Here is a 17,964-nt window from a genome sequence, read left to right on the forward strand (position 1 = left end):
CTGGCCAACATGGTGAAACTCCATCTCTACTAAAAATATAAAAATTAGCCGGGTATGGTGGTGCACGTCTGTAATCCCAGCTACTCAGGAGGCTGAGGCAGAAGAATCTCTTGAACCTGGGAGGCAGAGGTTGCAGTGAGCCAAGATTGAGCCATACACTCCAGCCTGGGCAACAGAGCAAGACTCCATTTCAAAAAAATAAATAAACAAATAAAATGATAATATAAAATGCACAAGTAATACTCAGAATATTTAGTTTATCTTTAAAATACATAAATTTATATTCACGATTACTATGGTTTGAATGTGTCCCCTCCAAAATTCGTGTTGAAATTTAATTTCTATTGTGGTAGTATTAAGAAGTGGGGTATTTGTGAAAAGTTTTTTGAAATCAGAAAAGGCAAGGCAAAATTATTCACAAAGTTAAAAATAACTATATTATTTATTCATCCATCTATTCAAATTATTAGTTACCTATAGTTTCCAAGGTGATGGAAAGACACAATTTCTACAAAACAAAACAAATGGTCACTTTCATATTTCACAGAATAAATGAAAAGATTGTCCATCAAAACATTCTGCCCTAGATGGGCAACTGAAATATTTTGCTCTGGAAAGATACACCTTTGTGCAGGAAAATAATTTTGTTGTTTTATTAAAAGGTTTGAGAATAGAGCTGCAATACTTCTAAAATGATGGGGAGATTAGTACTGAAAAACCTCATAACAGCTTTGATGGCCTCAGAAATATGACTAAATATAACCACAGAAATATTCAAGCAACAATTTCTGGGCAACATGGTATTTATGTCAGAGCATATAAGGAAGAATAAAAGATTTTTGCATATACGAGTAAGCACAAAACATTCAAAAAGCAATGTTTATTCAGTAGAACTCTGTTCTTCTGAAAAGTTTTTTTGAAAAGCTTTTTTTGAAATCAGAAAAGGCAAGGCAAAATTATTCACAGTAGTAGTAGAAGAGAATAGCACTTAAAATTTACAGTTAACATGAGTGATATGAAGTATTGTGCATGCATATAGTATGAGTTGACTCAATTACATTTAAACCCAAAGTCTTTAAAACGAGAATAAGAATAACATGCAGTGACTGTAAAATATCAATAAGCATGTACATAGTTTTATGTGAGCAGGTGTAGAGATATAATCGTTAATCAATATTCAGGACAGCTACACACACTATAAATTTATGACCACAGATTTATACCTCTCGACAAAATGTTTCCCAATGGAGCACCTTAAAAGTGGTTTTCTAAATTAAATATGTTGTTGTTTTCTCATTGAAAAGGAATAAAAATAATAGAGCAAGAAGATTTTTATATATGTTTACAAGAAGAAACTTTGGAGAAAAAGAGAACTCCTGAAAGTTAGGATCTAGGAAACACAGACTCACATTACTGTTCAGAAGTCTCTGTCTCTTCTTCTTACCACTGGGGTTTGGATAAGAGTCATCTAACATGTAAATTTTAAAGTGACTTTTTGTTTAAACTTTTATGTTTCCTCACAATGAGATTACTATATGTACCTTATAATATTTATTTCCATCATCAGATGAAACACCAGTTGGGAATAAAAAGGTACACAGCCATATTCTAAACCATTTCAGGCTTTTAGGTTAATAAGTAAAATTAAGAATTTATTTTATTGTGGTATGTTGGAGCTGAGTTCTTCTCCTGAATGTAATAGCTAAACATGAGAAAGAGAATTATACCTATGTTAAAATATATATATACATTATTTTAAAAAATAGATAGAATTTAAAACCATATGTTTTTAAACATACATTTTTAAAATGTGAAAAATTAATGTGCTTTTCAGGGTCCAACATTTTAAAATATCCCTTTTTTGTAAGACAGTGTCTAATGGATCGGGCATTGGAGTCATCTTAGCAGTTTGCCAACTAGGGCATTGTTGCAGAGTATTAAATGTCTTATAAGTCAATATCCTTCTTTTGTGGTGTATTTTCTTCTAAGAAGGAACAATAACAAAAAATTACTAGTACCTGGGAAAAAGAGAAGTTGTTGTTGTGTTTTGCTTAACATGTTAAACAAGTTATGAGCTATTTCCTGTTTCCAAGTTTGGCACCTTTGGAATCAAATGATTTTTCATGTCTCTAGGGTACTATTTAAAACTCACTATTTTGTAATTAATTTTGAGAGTTTCTTAATAAATGGTTCTAAGTGCCTAAGGGCTTCTTCCCATTAGAGTCATTGACTGGGGTTGAAAGCATATCAAAATACATCATATCTGAAGTGGTCATTGGTTGGTATGGATACTGGCAGAAATGATACATGATTATGCATGAGATACATGCACAATTATCTGAAAAATTAATAGGCTGATAATAATGATTTTCATACATTAGAACATCTACAGATTGAGTTTCATTAAATTTTCTGTAATACTTCACCACATTCAGTTAAGTCTTGAATAATTTGAATTTTCCTTTTCTTGGTTAGATGATTTACTAAGTCTCGGTTCACAGATATCACATTGAATTGAACACTAGCAGGAAAGGTGTCTGTAATCCTGACTTGGATAAAGTTTGAGCTGCTCAAGGGCAAAGTCTTGATGGTATAACTGATCCAAGGGCACTGCAGAACTGAGCTAGACTACTATGTAGGTCTCCACATTTAAGTACTAAGACCACATTTATCTCTATTTTCAAAGAAACACAGGGACATTCTTTGATAAGCTATTTTTATACATTTGGATCCATGAGATTTATTATTAGAAAGGCACCTTAGAGATATAACTTGCCCAAGTTCATCCCATTAGGCAAAGAATAACCCCATCAATAGCAGAGATGTTTTTAAAATTCTGGTCTCTGGTCTTCCCACTCACTACTCTCTCTCATCTGGTATGGTTTAGCTCCTATCTTTTGACTTCACATTTCTAGGCACACCAGCTTTGCAATTACAGGCCTGTGGAAATCATGTTGCAATTTTTTTATAAATGAGCTGAGGGTTGGAGTCCAACGGAAGTGTTATAATATAACCCAAAGTTACATCACTCTAAATAGAATTTCCAGCAGGTAACTGGTTAGAACTTGTCTAACGATTGTTTTCCAAAAACATTACAAACATGCATTTGTGGATATACACAGTGCCACTGAATTGTATACTCTAAAATGATTAAAATAGTAAATGTTACATATATTTTACCACAATAAAAGATATTTGTAATGCCCATAAACATTTCTTAATGATGTATTGTTGTTAGTGCTGTTTTCCCTGCCTATTCTTCCCTCAAAGTGTGTAAGTCCAATACATTCAATGCCCAGTAATTCCGGGTTCACCATGACAACTTTCCCTACTGCCCCAGCCTTTGAGATAACGTGCTCCTCTGAGCTCCTACAGCATTGAGTCCATTTAACATTGCAAATTTAGTACTTATCAAATTTTTACATTTATTTTTATAAATTTTATCACTTGAATAAATTTTAAACCAAGGGGAGGCATTACGTCTTATTTTTCTCCAAATATTCATAAACTTTCAAATTATTTGTCTTAAAGTTACCAAAGGCTACATAAATGTTTCTTGCTGTTGGCATGTTTTCTAGCAGTAAGGTTTAACTAATTCAATTGTGACAATTATGAGCTTGGAACTTAGTATCTGACTGGGTCAAATGTTCATTCATTTATTCTTTTATTAATTCAATCTAATTATAACATATAGTATGTTTTAGGCACCCTAGTACATGTTAAATACAGACATAAGTAAAAAAAAAATCTGTCCTCAAGTTGCTCAAATCTTAGGAGGAAAGAAGAACTATAAACAAATAGTTATATTTTAATGTGGTAAGTACTGGGTGTGTTTTATTCAGTTGGAGAAATGTCAGTGACTTCTTAAAATTGTGGGATCTAGAGTCAAAGGTGTATGCAAGCCCTCCTACGACTTACCTAACTATGTGATTTGGAGATATACAACTTCTTTATACTTCAGCTTCCTCCCTTGTAAAATGGGTGTGAAAATAGTGCCTATCTCACAGCATTGTTGTGAGGATCAAATGAAATAATGCATGTGTCCTGCTTACCACCACTTAGCACATTGTAAATACCCAATTAGTTCCTTCTATTGCCTTAGAAGATGACACTGAACCAAAACCACACTCTGTTTTCTGAGATGTAAAATCAGTTGTATGTGTGCATGTAAATATATATGTACTATGCAGTCAACTGTTTTTACATTATCTTTTAGCACATTTGGACTTAGGTGAATGCCCATTAGGTGCATCCCAGACTCACAGAGATTTCTCTTTCTCTTGGAATAGCCAGATATGCAAATATGGGCCTCACGTGTCTATCATATCAGTGCCTTTGACTTTCCTCTTGGCCATAACTGACTGGTCTAAGGGTAGATACATGATCTTGGCTGGATCAATCAGATTCTTTCTCTTGATCATTTGATCATCAAAATGAAGACTCAAGAAATGGGAGGTCACTAGATCTGAGATATCCTAATGGCAAAACTCTAAAGTGAGGGTCCCTGAATTGCCCCAGCTGTTCCCCTTCTGGAGGTTCAGTTGTTCACCAAGGCCTTTGATTCTATGAGCTATAACAGCATCCATTCAATAAACCATCTCTTAAATTTGCCAGAGTCAGTAGCTGTTACTTACAAGAAACAAACAAAAAAATGTAACTAACACTGGGAAAGTGTTCTCCCTTTGCTAGTGTTCTCTAGCAAGACTGGCCAGATGGTTTCTCTTTCCACCAAAACCTATGAGAGTCTTCCTGAAGATGGCCTAATCAGTAGATCTATGCAATTGCTTTCCAGTAGGATTTTAAAGAATAAAGGGAAAATTGCATATTTTGTTTCAAATGATTTGCTTTCTACTCTGGCTTTTACTTTAACCTCTGAGGCTTAGGGCAAGTCTGTATTTATTTACCTCTCTATCCCTGTCATTTCTCCATTGGTCAGTAGAAACAATGAGGTTTCTCTGATCTAACCCATAACTCACATATGAATTTCACAAGAAAAAGGGAACCAGCTCTGAATTTGCTACAAGAACCTGAGTTTCTTTTTCTATTAGGTTGGTGCAAAAGTAGTCGAGCTTTTTGCCATTAAAAGTAATGGTAAAAACCGCAATTGCTTTTGCACCAACCTAATAGAAGGTGAGGTGCTTGAAGTATCTAGTCTGTAGGGGTCCTTCCATAACTAATGTGACAATTGATTCTGTCACATTGATCAAAATAACACAGATAAAAGAAACATTAATCTGATATAGAAAAGATCAATCATGTAGGAAATACAAAGATACTTCATGTTTTTCCTAAACACTCAAGGATTAAGGGGGAAAACATCACCGTAATGATATAACAGACTTAACACTGTGTGGCTAAAAGATGTATGTAGCATTAAAAATAAAAACAGAACCGTAGTACTACATGATGAAAAAAATGTCAGATTTACCTTTAATTTCTGGTGAGAGCTGCTGCTGTGGTTGCTCCAAATGTCGTAACATATTGAACAGCAGTGCCAATGGGCTTTAAAAAAAAAAGGAAAAAGGGGAGAAAAACCTTACCCAGCAGACATTTATGTTTATTTTCCCACATCTTTAAAAAATTTATTGCTTTTACTTAACTCATCTTGAGACATTAGTAGTTCTTAAACAATGTGTGGTACAAAATGTTATATTTGGTGGTCCTGTTTCAAGCCCCAGAGAACAACAATCCCCATAATAAAACTGATATTTCACAAGCCTCACAGGACTCAATTAGAAGAGAGTCTGAATTGCCTCTTACTCTGGGGAAAGGGTCAGAATTCAGATCATCTAGATAATATGAACACAAATAGAAAACAATTGTTATACAATTGGGTTACAAAATTAATGCAGGAATGATAGATGTCTGTAATCCTTATTAAAATATGAAGAGTTTGTTATAAATTCTATACAAAGAAAACTGCAACATAAGATGATTGTTATATATTGATATATACACACATAATTTTAATATATGGACTGTATACATGTGTATAAGGATTGCATAAGCATTTATGTGCATATAGATGTACATATATGTGTTCATATCTATACCTATATATAGGACATCTATATGTAGATGATCAGCTAAATTAAACCTGGGAAAATAACTGTTTTCTCATAAATAAAACACAAAAGTGATCTCGTACTCAATTTATAGACTACTTTTGTCCTGGTTATATTTTTACTCCAAATAATGTTAATAAATTTTAAAATTGTTTCAAATTATTTGATTATGAGCACATTCCTCACAGCATGGAGCTTCTACCTTCCCAAAGTATAAAAGTGATTTTCCCCTGATATTGGGGTTGGCTAGATGTCAGGGAAGGATGGGAGAAGAGGATGTTATCATATAATACAAATTAAGTTTCTGGAGTCATGGCATACTTGCGGTTATCAAACATCCAACTTTAATTTTGATTTCAAATCCTGCAAACCCCTTTTATAGCCCATCTTTGTCTCCCTTATAAACTAGCCATTTAAACTGAAAAACACAAAATCACTGTTTGTATGCTTCTTGTAAGGCTTGTCAGTCTCTTCCAAATACACATCTAGTCATGCGAAAGGTGCCATTGCCATTCCCTAGGAACCAAGAATCTTGTCTGAATCAGGAGAACTCATAAAAGCAAAGATCATTTGGACCTTAATATATGTTCTGTATTCAACCATAAAAACATTTACTCTATTTTGCAACTGCGTTTCTCTCTTTTGTGAAACTGTTCTGTATGCCTGTGCTAAGCTAGTGTTTACAGCTTGGTTTCTTTTTTCACTTTAAAACAAGGCATTCAGCCAACTTTAAACACTGCCTACTTCTAGCCAATTGTCCTTTTCTCTCTGTCAACATTTTTGTTAAAGGAAAAGCACATGACTAAATGTGATGTTTCTAACATATTTAAAAAGCAATTCTATTGAAATGATGGTGATGTCCAACAGATAATCACCATATATCATTTCCTTGAATGGTGCCCCAAGAATTCTAAATTTCCTTGCTGTTTTGGGTTGTTTTAACCTTGTATGCAGTTTTGAATTAAAAATAGGTCAAGGCATAACCATGTATTCATTAATTATTACAGATAAAAACTATTAAATAGTAAAAAGCAGCCATTATTATTATGCTGGAAACTGAGTACTTCACAGTGTACAATCTCACAACAATCTATTCTTCGTAATATTATTATTTTTCTTCACAATAAGGAAATTGAAGCACGGAAAGACTAAGTATCTTGCATAGGGTAACTGCCAGCCATTGAATAACATCATCACTGACGTACAACTCAGGCTGCCTGACCAAGCCGCACATTTAACCAGTATACCATGCAAGTATGTATTGAATACATGCATTTTAGATGTAGCTTTGAAGATATATATATATATATATATATATATCTGTCAGTGAGTATATGCATATATATTTATATTTATGTTTATTTATATTGCCACCTTACTGTCTAGACAGACAAAGACTAAAAACACTGTATAATTGGGGTGGGAGAAGAGTATATAATTGTTAAACAAATAGTATAAAGCAATGGTTTGCAAATATTTTTCCAGTAAGACATATATTCAAAACACACTCTCAATGTGTTATGACTTAGATAAAAATGAGTCCAAATAATGTCCAACTCTAGCATGGTAGCTTTAAATCCATCCTGTTCTTTCCCACTTGTAAGAACATAAAAGAGGGCAAATACAATATAATATTACAATGTAAATTGATTCATTTATGTATCAAACACCAAAAAGCAATGGCAACAAAAGCCAAAATTGACAAATGGGATCTAATTAAACTAAAAAGCTTCTGCACAGCAAAAGAAATTATCATCAGAATGAACAGGCAACCTACAGAATGGGAGAAAATTTTTGCAATCCATCCATCTGACAAAGGGCTAATATCCAGAATCTACAAAGAACTTAAACAAATTTACAAAAAAAAAAAAAAACCCATCAAAAAGTGGGCAAAGGATATGAACAGACACTTCTCAAAAGAAGTCATTTATGTGGCCAAAAAACATATGAAAAAAAGCTCATCATCACTGGTCATTAGAGAAATGCAAATCAAAACCACAATGAGATACCATCTCATGCCAGTTAGAATGGTGATCATTAAAAAGTCAGGAAACAACAGATGCTGGAGAGGATGTGGAGAAATGGGAACACTTTTACACTGTTGGTGGGAGTGTAAATTAGTTCAACCATTGTGGAAGACAGTGTGGCGATTCCTCAAGGATCTAGCACCAGAAATATCAATTGACCCATCAATCCCATTACTGGGCATATACCCAAAGGATTATAAATCATCATACTGTAAAGACACATGCACACGTATGTTTATTGCAGCACTGTTCACAATAGCAAAGACTTGGAACCAACCCAGATGCCCATCAATGATAGACTGGATAAAGAAAATGTGGCACATATACACCATGGAATACTATGCAGCCATAAAAAGGATGAGTTCATGGCCTTTGCAGGGACTTGGATGAAGCTGGAAACCATCATTCTCAGCAAACTAAAACAGGAACAGAAAACAAAACACTGCATCTTCTCACTCATAAGTGAGAGCTGAACAATGAGAACAGATGGACACAGGGAGGGGAACATCACATACCGGGGCCTGTTATTGGGGGGTGCATAGAAGAGGAATAGCATTAGGAGAAATACCTAATGTAGATGACGGGTTGATGGGTGCAGCAAACCACCATGGCACATGTATACCTATGTAACAAACCTGCACGTTCTGCACATGTATCCCAGAACTTAAAGTAAAATTAAAAAAAAAAAAAAAAGAAGATGAAGAAGAAAGAAAAAGGGAGAAGGAAGAAGAAGAAGAAGCAGAAGCAGCAGCTCTGATTCCAATGGACTTTCCCTAGTGGCTATCAGCATAGTACTACCTTCCAGATGAGCACACAACCCTGAAGAGATCTAGAGGTGAGGACTGAATGGAACATAAAACCAAGAGAAATAGCAGAGGGCTATACATTTTAAGCCACTCTGCTCAGCAACTGTGCCATAAAGACTACTCAGCCATCCCACAACAGCATGTTGTTTTGCAAAAGCTTCTACCTAGAGAACTATATTATCAAGATCACAACTATCACAGAATACACACTCTCAACCCTACAAATTGCTTTTAATTCTACTCACAATCTTACTAAGCTATTTGTTAAATAATGACATCATATAAAATTGTGAAAATTATAATCTACTATACTCTAGAATATATAAAATAATTTTTATAGCCAAAGAAATGGCAAGGGTTTTTATTTCTCTCTCCCATGTCAAAGATATATAAAGATTATTTATAATTAAAAGGAAAAAGAAAATCAAATGTACATGTTTAGCAACAGGGGACTGGTAAAATAAATTATTATCCATTTTGTACAATGGAACACTCTGCAATGACTATAAAGAATGGAGTAGAGGCCAGGAGCGGTGGCTCATGCCTGTAATCCCAGCACTTTGGGAGGCCTAGGTGGGTGGATCGCCTAAGGTCAGGAGTTCGAGACCAGCCTGACCAACATGGTGAAACCCCATCTCTACTAAAAATACAAAAATTAGCTGGACATGGTGGCATGTGCCTGTAATCTCAGCTACTTGGGAGGCTGAGGCAGGAGAATCGCTTGAATCTGGGATGCAGAGGTTTCAGTGAGCCGAGATCATACATTGCACTCCAGCCTGGGCAATAAGAGCGAAACTCCATCTCAAAAAATAAATAAATAGAAAAGAATGGAGTAGATATTCATGTGTTAACATGGAACTAGCAAGATAGCCCATTTAATTTAAAAATCAAGGTATATAATAGTGTGTGTAGCTAGGGTCAAACAGGGATAGATAAATATACGTGCATGAAAATGTTCCGAAGAGGTAAATAAATAATTGAAAGGTTATGTCTGGGATGTGGGACTGCAGGTCTAGAGCAAAAGAAAGATTTGCTTTTTAACGACCTTTTGTCCAGAATGAATATTTTTAAACTATGTGATATGTTCTTTTCATGATAAAAACAATAAAGGAAAACTAGGTTTGGTCTCAAATTTTAACTAGGCAAATTCTGCCTGTCTTTTTATAGGCAAAAATATAAAGTAAAAATAGAAAAATCTAGGCAGTAAATCATAGTGAACATACCTTTATTATATTATTATTTCCTTTTCATTGTCCCAAAGTCTAATTCTGTGGACTCAAAATAGGCAAAACAGAATGACTGAAACACACGATAGACCAAGGAAAAAATTTTGGTTCCTTCCCCAAATTCTTTTCATGGCCATTAGATTCCTCTTTTCCAGTTTGCAACATTGGAATCTAACATCGAATTAGAGATTGCTGATTTTGTATAAAGAAAAATCCTTGCTGGCTATAATTTTCGTTTGTTTATTTTATTACTCAGTCAATCCTGAAATGGAACCTCAAATTATTATCCATTTGTTATTGATATAACTAAAAACAAATTTCAAACTAATAATTCTTGAAGACATTTTTAGTTATCACTAAATACACTCCTTAAGCGTCCCAAGAGTCATTGAATATTTTGAAATTGCATTTCCTAATTTAAAGCTGGAAGAAAGAATAACTGCATCAAATTATCTTCGTCTTTCCAACTATTTACCTGAAACTCTTATTTGAAACCTCATGTTGAATGAACTAGCATGGGCTTAGCTAATCCTACAAACAACTTTCTGTTCTTCTCTTCCTACATATACCCCCCAATCCTTCATATACCTTTTAACCATGTGATATTCTCCAAGTCTCAGAAATTAAAATAATCTATGGTCTCAATGAGTACCGGGCTTATATAAAATTTTACAAAATTCAATTCTTCTGGAATAGACAGGACAAAAATTCTAAAGCACTTTTTCCTCTAAATCACCACCTTCCTGTGGCCCAGATAAATTCTAATTAAGAGTCAACAATATTCAAATCTCTAGCTACATTAATCCATTAAAAATCAGCATCATAGATGTATTTATTTCTCAAAAGTGCTTGAACAATACACTTAATGTACTTTGTGCATTATCTGAAAATAAAATCAAGAAAACAATTTCATTTAAAAAATTACTGATAAGGAACAAAATACCCAGGAGTAAATTCAACCAAGGAAGGTCAAGACTTGTATAATGAAAAATATAAAACACTGTTGCAAAAAATTAAAGAAGAGCTAAATACATGGAAAGACATTCCATGCTCATGAAATGGAAGATTAATATTGTTAAGATGGTAGTACCCCCCAAATTGATCTACACATTCAATGCAATTCCTATCAAAATTTCAACAACATTTTTTTCTATAGAAATAGATAAGTTGTTCCTAAAATTCAAATGGAAATGCAAGGGACCTGGCATATTCAAAACAATCTTGAAAAATAAGAACAAAGTTGGAAGACTCAGACTTCCTGATTTCAAAATTTATTACAAAGCCACAGTAATACAAAAAAGTGTTGTACTGGCAGAAAAATAGACACGTAGATAAATGTAATATAACTGAGGATCCAAAAACACACCCACACATCTAGGTCGATTTTTTTTCAACAAAAGTGACAAGACCATTCAACAGGGAAAGAATAGTCTTTTCAACAAATAGTTTTGGAACAATTGGATATCCTCATGCAAAAGAATAAATCTAGAACCCTACAACACATCAAGACCTAAGATTAACTAAAAATGAATCAAAGACTTAAATGCAAGAGTAGAACTGTAAAACATACAGGGAGAGACACAGGATTACATCTTCATGACCATGAGTCAGCCAAAGATTTCTTTAGATACAATACCAAAAATACAAGCAATAACAGAAAAAATAAATTGGACTTCATCAAAATTAAAAACTTTTGTGTTTTAAACTATCATAAAAGTAAAAAAGACAAGCTACAGAATACAGAAAATATTTGCACATCATTTCTCTGATAAGGACTTATAGCAAGACTGTGTAAAGAACTCTCACAACTCAGCTATAAAAATACAAATAATTCAATTTTAAAATGGGCAATGGGTTTGTGTAGCCATTTTTCTAAAGAAAATACACAAATGGTCACATGAAAAGATGGCCAATATCATTAGTCACTAGGGAAATGAAAATCAAAACTGCAACGAGATACCTACCACTCCCTATGTACTAGGATGACTAAATTTTTTTTTTCAAAAAAAGGCAAAAAACAAGTGTTGGTGAGGAGGTGAATAAATTAGGCACCCTCATGTATTGCAGTGGGGGATGTGCAATGGTGCAAACACTGTGGTAAAAATTTTGGTCACTCCTGTAATATTTAAACACAGGGTTATTCTACCATATGGCTCAGCATGTCTACTCCTAGGTATACAGCCAAGAGAAATGAAAACACATTTTTACAACATTTACACAAAGACTTGTAAAAGAATGTTCACAGCAGCATTATTCATAATAGCCAAATGCAAACATCTATCAGCTGATAAACAGAAAAATAAAACGTGGTACATTCATACAATGGAATATTATTCAGCCATAAAAAGGAGTGAAGTATGAATACATGCTGCTATAACATGGATGAACCTTGAAGACATTGGGTTAAGTCAAAGAAGCCAGACACAAAGGCCATAGATACACAAAGTAGATGAGTGGTTGCCAGGAGCTAGGACAAGAGAGGAATTAGGTAGGGGATACTTATTTTGGATGATGATAATATTCTAGAATTAGGTAGTGGTGATGGTTGCATACATTGTGAATATACTGAAAACTACTGAATTTTTCCATTAAAATAATAGGAAAAATAATTTGTGCATTTCACTTCTGTAAAATATACCTCAGTAAAGCTAACACGAGGGAAATAATGGTCAGCAACAATTATTTTTAAGAGCATGTAAAAGGCTGGTAAGGAGAAAAAATAGGTAGAAAAAGATCAGCATCCAACTTTATAAACAGAGGTATCCACAGACATTGTTTGGTATAAATGTACCCATGCAAATCTATCACCGACTCTGCAGAGACAACACAATTAATCATAGTCCAATAGAGCCCATCTATACAAACAGAGAGGTAAAAAACAGAAAGGGAGTAGTATGTTCATGCTTTCTTTAACAGTCACTTTAAGAAATGTTATCCTTGGAGAACTTATGGCTACCCCAAAAATCATGGGAGTAAACGAAATGAGCTTCATAAGGATTAAAGTCTTTCTTCAAAGACCTCTACCTGTGAACAGCCACTCAGCCAGAAATGGTGCTAGCAAGAGATACACTGCCTACATGCTGTGGACCTCAGCCACGTAAAGATCCTTCTCAAGTTATTGTTCACTGATCTAGAGGAAATAGCTGCTGGGCCCTTAGCATGCTCACAATGGGGTCACAGGAGGCATGGGAGGCCTTCCATTGAAAGTCCACCTCTTCATGAGTCAGAGTCCTACACAGAAGAAACACGAGAGTCCCACAATAAAGCACTTTATCATCAGATTGATCAAAAACCTGTACATGAGTGTGTTGCCATTTTTATCCATCCATTCAACAAATATTTACTGAGCATCTACCATGCATCAGGTACTGCAGAGATACAAGAGAATACTTATTCTTGTGTAACATTCTTTGTGGGTATCAAGAAGGCAAAATGACATGCTCCTCTGCTTACAACCCTGCAATGATGCACCACTTTTCTGCAAACAAAAGCCTTAACCAGGTCCTGTGAGGTGCTATGTGATAGGGACCTACTTTCCCACACCACACCCTTTACCTCTCTGACCTCACCTCCAACTTTCCTAACCCTTGCTTCCTTCACTACAGTCACTGGCCTCTTGATTAGTCTACCAATGCACTCAGCATGCTCCCTCATTTGGGCCTTTGCACCAGCTGTTCCATGACATTGAGAAATTTTCCCTGGATTTGCTCATGGCTCACTTTCTCTACTTCCTTCAAGATTTTGCTCAAATTGCACCTTCCCCACGAGGCCTGCCTACCCTGAACACCTTATTCAAATCACAACCCACTTGCCTCTAGCATTTCCTAGTCTTCTTACTCTGCTCTAATTTTCTTTCTCTTTCCACATTCCATTTTAACATGCTATGTAATTTCCTTACTTATACTTTCTTTTATTGCCCACCCCCCAGGCTGTAAGGCCATGGGGGAGGAATTTATTGTTTGTCTGTATTGCACACTACTGTCTCTCCAGCACCTACTACAGTACCTGCTGCATAAACACTGTTGAATGAGCAGAAACAGTAAAAATACCTTTAGAACACTTTCTTTATGAAAAAAAAAAAAAAAAAAAAGCCTCTCTGGACTGGATATTTGGGGATACCATTTTAGAGCACCTGATATCACAGCTATAATTCTATGGCCCAAGCAGCTACACTGGCCCCTGAGATGTGAAGGTGAAGACACCCTATCACTCAACAGTGGATAGGGTTTCCTAAGATACCTGAACACCACTCAACTGTGCTTCCCATCCCTGCTCGTCCCATTAATACCTGTCAGTGAGCTATGTGGGTGGACAAAAATTATTTATATATAAAATGTTTATTATGTAATGGTCTGCCTTTTCCACAAGCAGTCCAAAGGAGATTGGAAACAATGAGCTGGAAGAGAGACCTATTTACTCTAGTTCCTAAATCTTCTCTGATCTTCATAATCCCTGGTATCTCAAGTGATACATGTGGTCACTTAAATTTTTTATTTCCTCATCTTGTTCTAATTTCTTTCACTCCTCAAAAAAAATAAAGAAGAAGAAAGAAAAAAATCCCTGGTGCTTTACTCCTAAAGTTTATCCATAACGTATTGTTACAGTTTCCTTGATTTTATTTGTAATTCTTGTCTAATCTTGTACATTCACAGGCTAAGAAAACTCAAGACCATTTAATCATTACAGCTCTAATCAACAGAAAAGACTTCATTATTAAAATGTTCATTTCGAAATGTGTGAAAATTGTAAATGGGGATGATGTGATGTGTATATGACATGAGATTACCGGGGTACAAAATGGGGCCCAGGGAAGCACCTTTGTTTGCCTTTATACAACAGTACAAAAGTAATCACTTGGCTGAAAGCAGATGCTGTTTTCTATCCTCATCACTGGTTAAATCACTTGTACACACGCATTGTCTTAAAGCATTTCAACAAAATTCCACTGATTGGTCTGCAAAACTGAGAGATTAAGATCCACCCCGGAACAATTTATTTACCTTCTAAAGTGAAAAAAAAAATGCTGGCACCTTCAGCTGAATAGAAAAAAATCCCATGAATTCCTTTCCTCTTTTCAAAACCTGAGCCTAATTTCTCAGCACTATGGATTCAAAATAATACATGTTAATGGATTTAGCACCAAAGAATCGAAACATTATATCTGCATGAAAAAAAAACAGTAGAAGAGATAGTTTACGTTTCCATTTTAAATAGATATTTAAGCAAAATAACCTGTTTAGAATATTCTAAAACAAATATCAATTATTTATATCTATGCCTTGCAAGTTAAACAATTTTGCTTTATGTGTATATTAACTTTAAAAGGTCTTAAAAATTCCTTTGAGGTGAAAATGGCTTTTTTCCGTGGTCAATAAAATTAGAATTTTTTTTTCTGGTAAATGAATTTTCAAAAGCAAATGTCAAAACTCAACTTAGAAAAATTCCAGTAGCTCTAATTCTATTATTAAAACTAATTTAAAATAAATTTTAGGTAGCAAGTTGTATACATATTAGAATATTTCAAGGCATTAAGCATATATTTTAAGTTAACGAATATAGAAAATTATGCACAAATAAAGAAAACACACAGATTTTACTCCATTGCTTTAGAAAAGTTAAAAAAAGTTTACTAGAATTTACAAAGTAGTAACATAATAAAGTTGGACATTAAATATTTTTAGTTTAAACTCTAAGTATATGAGAAAGCACCTTACAAAATATTTATTTGTATTTGCATGAGTAGCATTTTTTATTTATAAAAATAGCAAGCACATGCTAGCCAAGGCTGCCGTCAATTTTAAGATGAGAGTCATTGAATGATCAGAAAAGTATTAATTATACCATCTTCCACACTGAACTGAGAATAATGATCAATCCTAAGCTGTTACATTGACTGCAAGAACTTATTTTTTGATATTTTTTCAAGACGAATCCACTTAATTCTGAAAAAGAAAAATGTTTTTTTCTGAGTGCCTACTGCACGCCGGGACTATGCAAGATGCTGAATATGGGTATGAAAACAAACGAGATTGCTTTTGCTTTGTGGTATTGATACTTAACTGGGCCAATTTCCTTTACATGATGAGCTTAATATGCAGCTGTAAAGCAAGTTAATCAACAAGAGTTCTCTGTTATATTCTATCCCCTACTTTTCCCGTAGAGCTGTATAATCCTGCAAATGGCCAGCAGCAGCAGCAACAGCAGCAGTTGCTATATGGGAAATTGAAGCCAGGGCAATCACAGCAGGAATTTAACTTCTGATGGAGAAAAAGGAAGGAGGAGCAGGAGGAGGAGGAGGAGGAGAGGAGGGGCAAGAGGAGAAACAAAATATTTTAGTGGTTGATTTATTCTGATGCCCATCAGAAAGCAAGTTGAATCAAACAAAGTAGCTTCCATTCTGTAACTTTTCTGTTTAAGAAGAAAGAGGAAGACCACAGTCTCTTTATCAGGACACATAAAAAGCACTATTGATTAAGGAAAATATTAAAAAGTTAGCCTTCATTAAAATTTAGAATTTCTATTTGTCAAAAAACGCCATTAAGAAAGTGAAAAAGCAAGTTACAGATGAGGAGAAGGTATTCACAAGACATATATCTAACATAGGACTTATATGCAGGATATAAAAAGAACACCTACAAATCAAAAACAAAAAGACAATCCAATATAAAAAATGAGCATATGATCTGAACAGGAACTTCCACAAAAGGCTATTCAAATGGCTAAAAAGCATACGAAAAGGTGTTCAATGTCATTATTCACCGGGAAAATGCAAATTAAACCACAACAACATACCACTGTTCATCTACTAGGATAGTTAAAGTTAAAGAACTAGTATCAAGTGTTGTTGAGGACGTAGAGTAACTTGAGTGCTCACACATTGCTGGTAGGAGTTCAAACTGGTTCAACCACATTGAAAAGCTGTTTGGACTCTTTTCTGAAGTTAGACCTATGTTTATCCTAAAACCCAGCAATTCCACTTCTAGGTATATACCCAAGAGAAATGAATGCATGTGTTCACCAAATGACATTTACAAGTATGTTCATGGTAACATAATTCATAAAAGTCAAAAAATGAAATCATCAAATGTTCAGCAACAGTAAAGAAATTGTGGCATATTCATATAATGGAATACTACACAGCAATGAAAAGAATGAACTACTGACATACACGATAACATAGACAAAACTCACAGGCCCAAAGTCGAGCAAACAATAGATGCCAGACACAAAAGAACATATACTATAGGATTCCTATTTACATGAAATCAAAAGTAAAACACAAAACAAATCTATTGGTCAGAGTAGAGGTTACCTTTGTGGGTATCAGCTGAAAGAGAGGGGGTACAATGGAGGTAGTGTAAATGCTGTATTCCTTCTTCTTCCTGGTGGTGGTTACAGGGGTGTCTACATAAACAAAAATGTATGCTCCTACCATGACTGCACCTCTGAATTGGTCACCTGATTCTCTGAAGTCAATAATCCAGATCATGACAGACCCCTGCTCAAGCCCATGAGTGGCTCCCATTTCACTTGGGGTACAAGTCAAACTCTTTTAATGGCCCACAATAACCAGATTTGGCCACTCCAACCCTTCTAATTTATTTTGCTCCTTGCTGCTGCTAAAACATTCCTTGAATATTGCTGTCCCAGGGCCTCTGCCCTGGCTGTTGCCTCTGCCTGGAATGTTCTTCCTCGAGATAGCCACCAACCTCCCTCTCTCAGCTCCTCAAGACTGTGTTTAAATGTCATCTTCTCACCAAGCTCTATCTGAGCTCATCCTGTTTAACACTGCAAAGCCCTCACTTTAGTATGTGCATGTGTACCTGTGTGTGTGTTTGAT

General features: G+C 34.8%; 1 protein-coding gene across 17 annotated transcripts in view; it reads right to left on the reverse strand.

Annotated features, from left to right (window-relative positions):
- EYA1 (EYA transcriptional coactivator and phosphatase 1) overlaps positions 1-17,964 on the reverse strand; it is a 350,662-nt gene that overhangs the window by 267,997 nt on the left and 64,701 nt on the right. For 3 of the 17 annotated variants that reach the window (NM_001370334.1, XM_047421530.1, XM_047421525.1), the window contains one exon: positions 5,429-5,502. The exons of the other annotated variants lie outside the window; for them this stretch is intronic. The gene's annotated coding sequence lies outside the window, so the exon portion shown is untranslated. The remainder of the gene's footprint in view (positions 1-5,428; positions 5,503-17,964) is intronic. 17 annotated transcript variants of the gene reach the window in all.

The sequence above is a fragment of the Homo sapiens genome, chromosome 8, assembly GCF_000001405.40.
Source record: "Homo sapiens chromosome 8, GRCh38.p14 Primary Assembly".
NCBI lineage: Eukaryota > Metazoa > Chordata > Mammalia > Primates > Hominidae > Homo > Homo sapiens.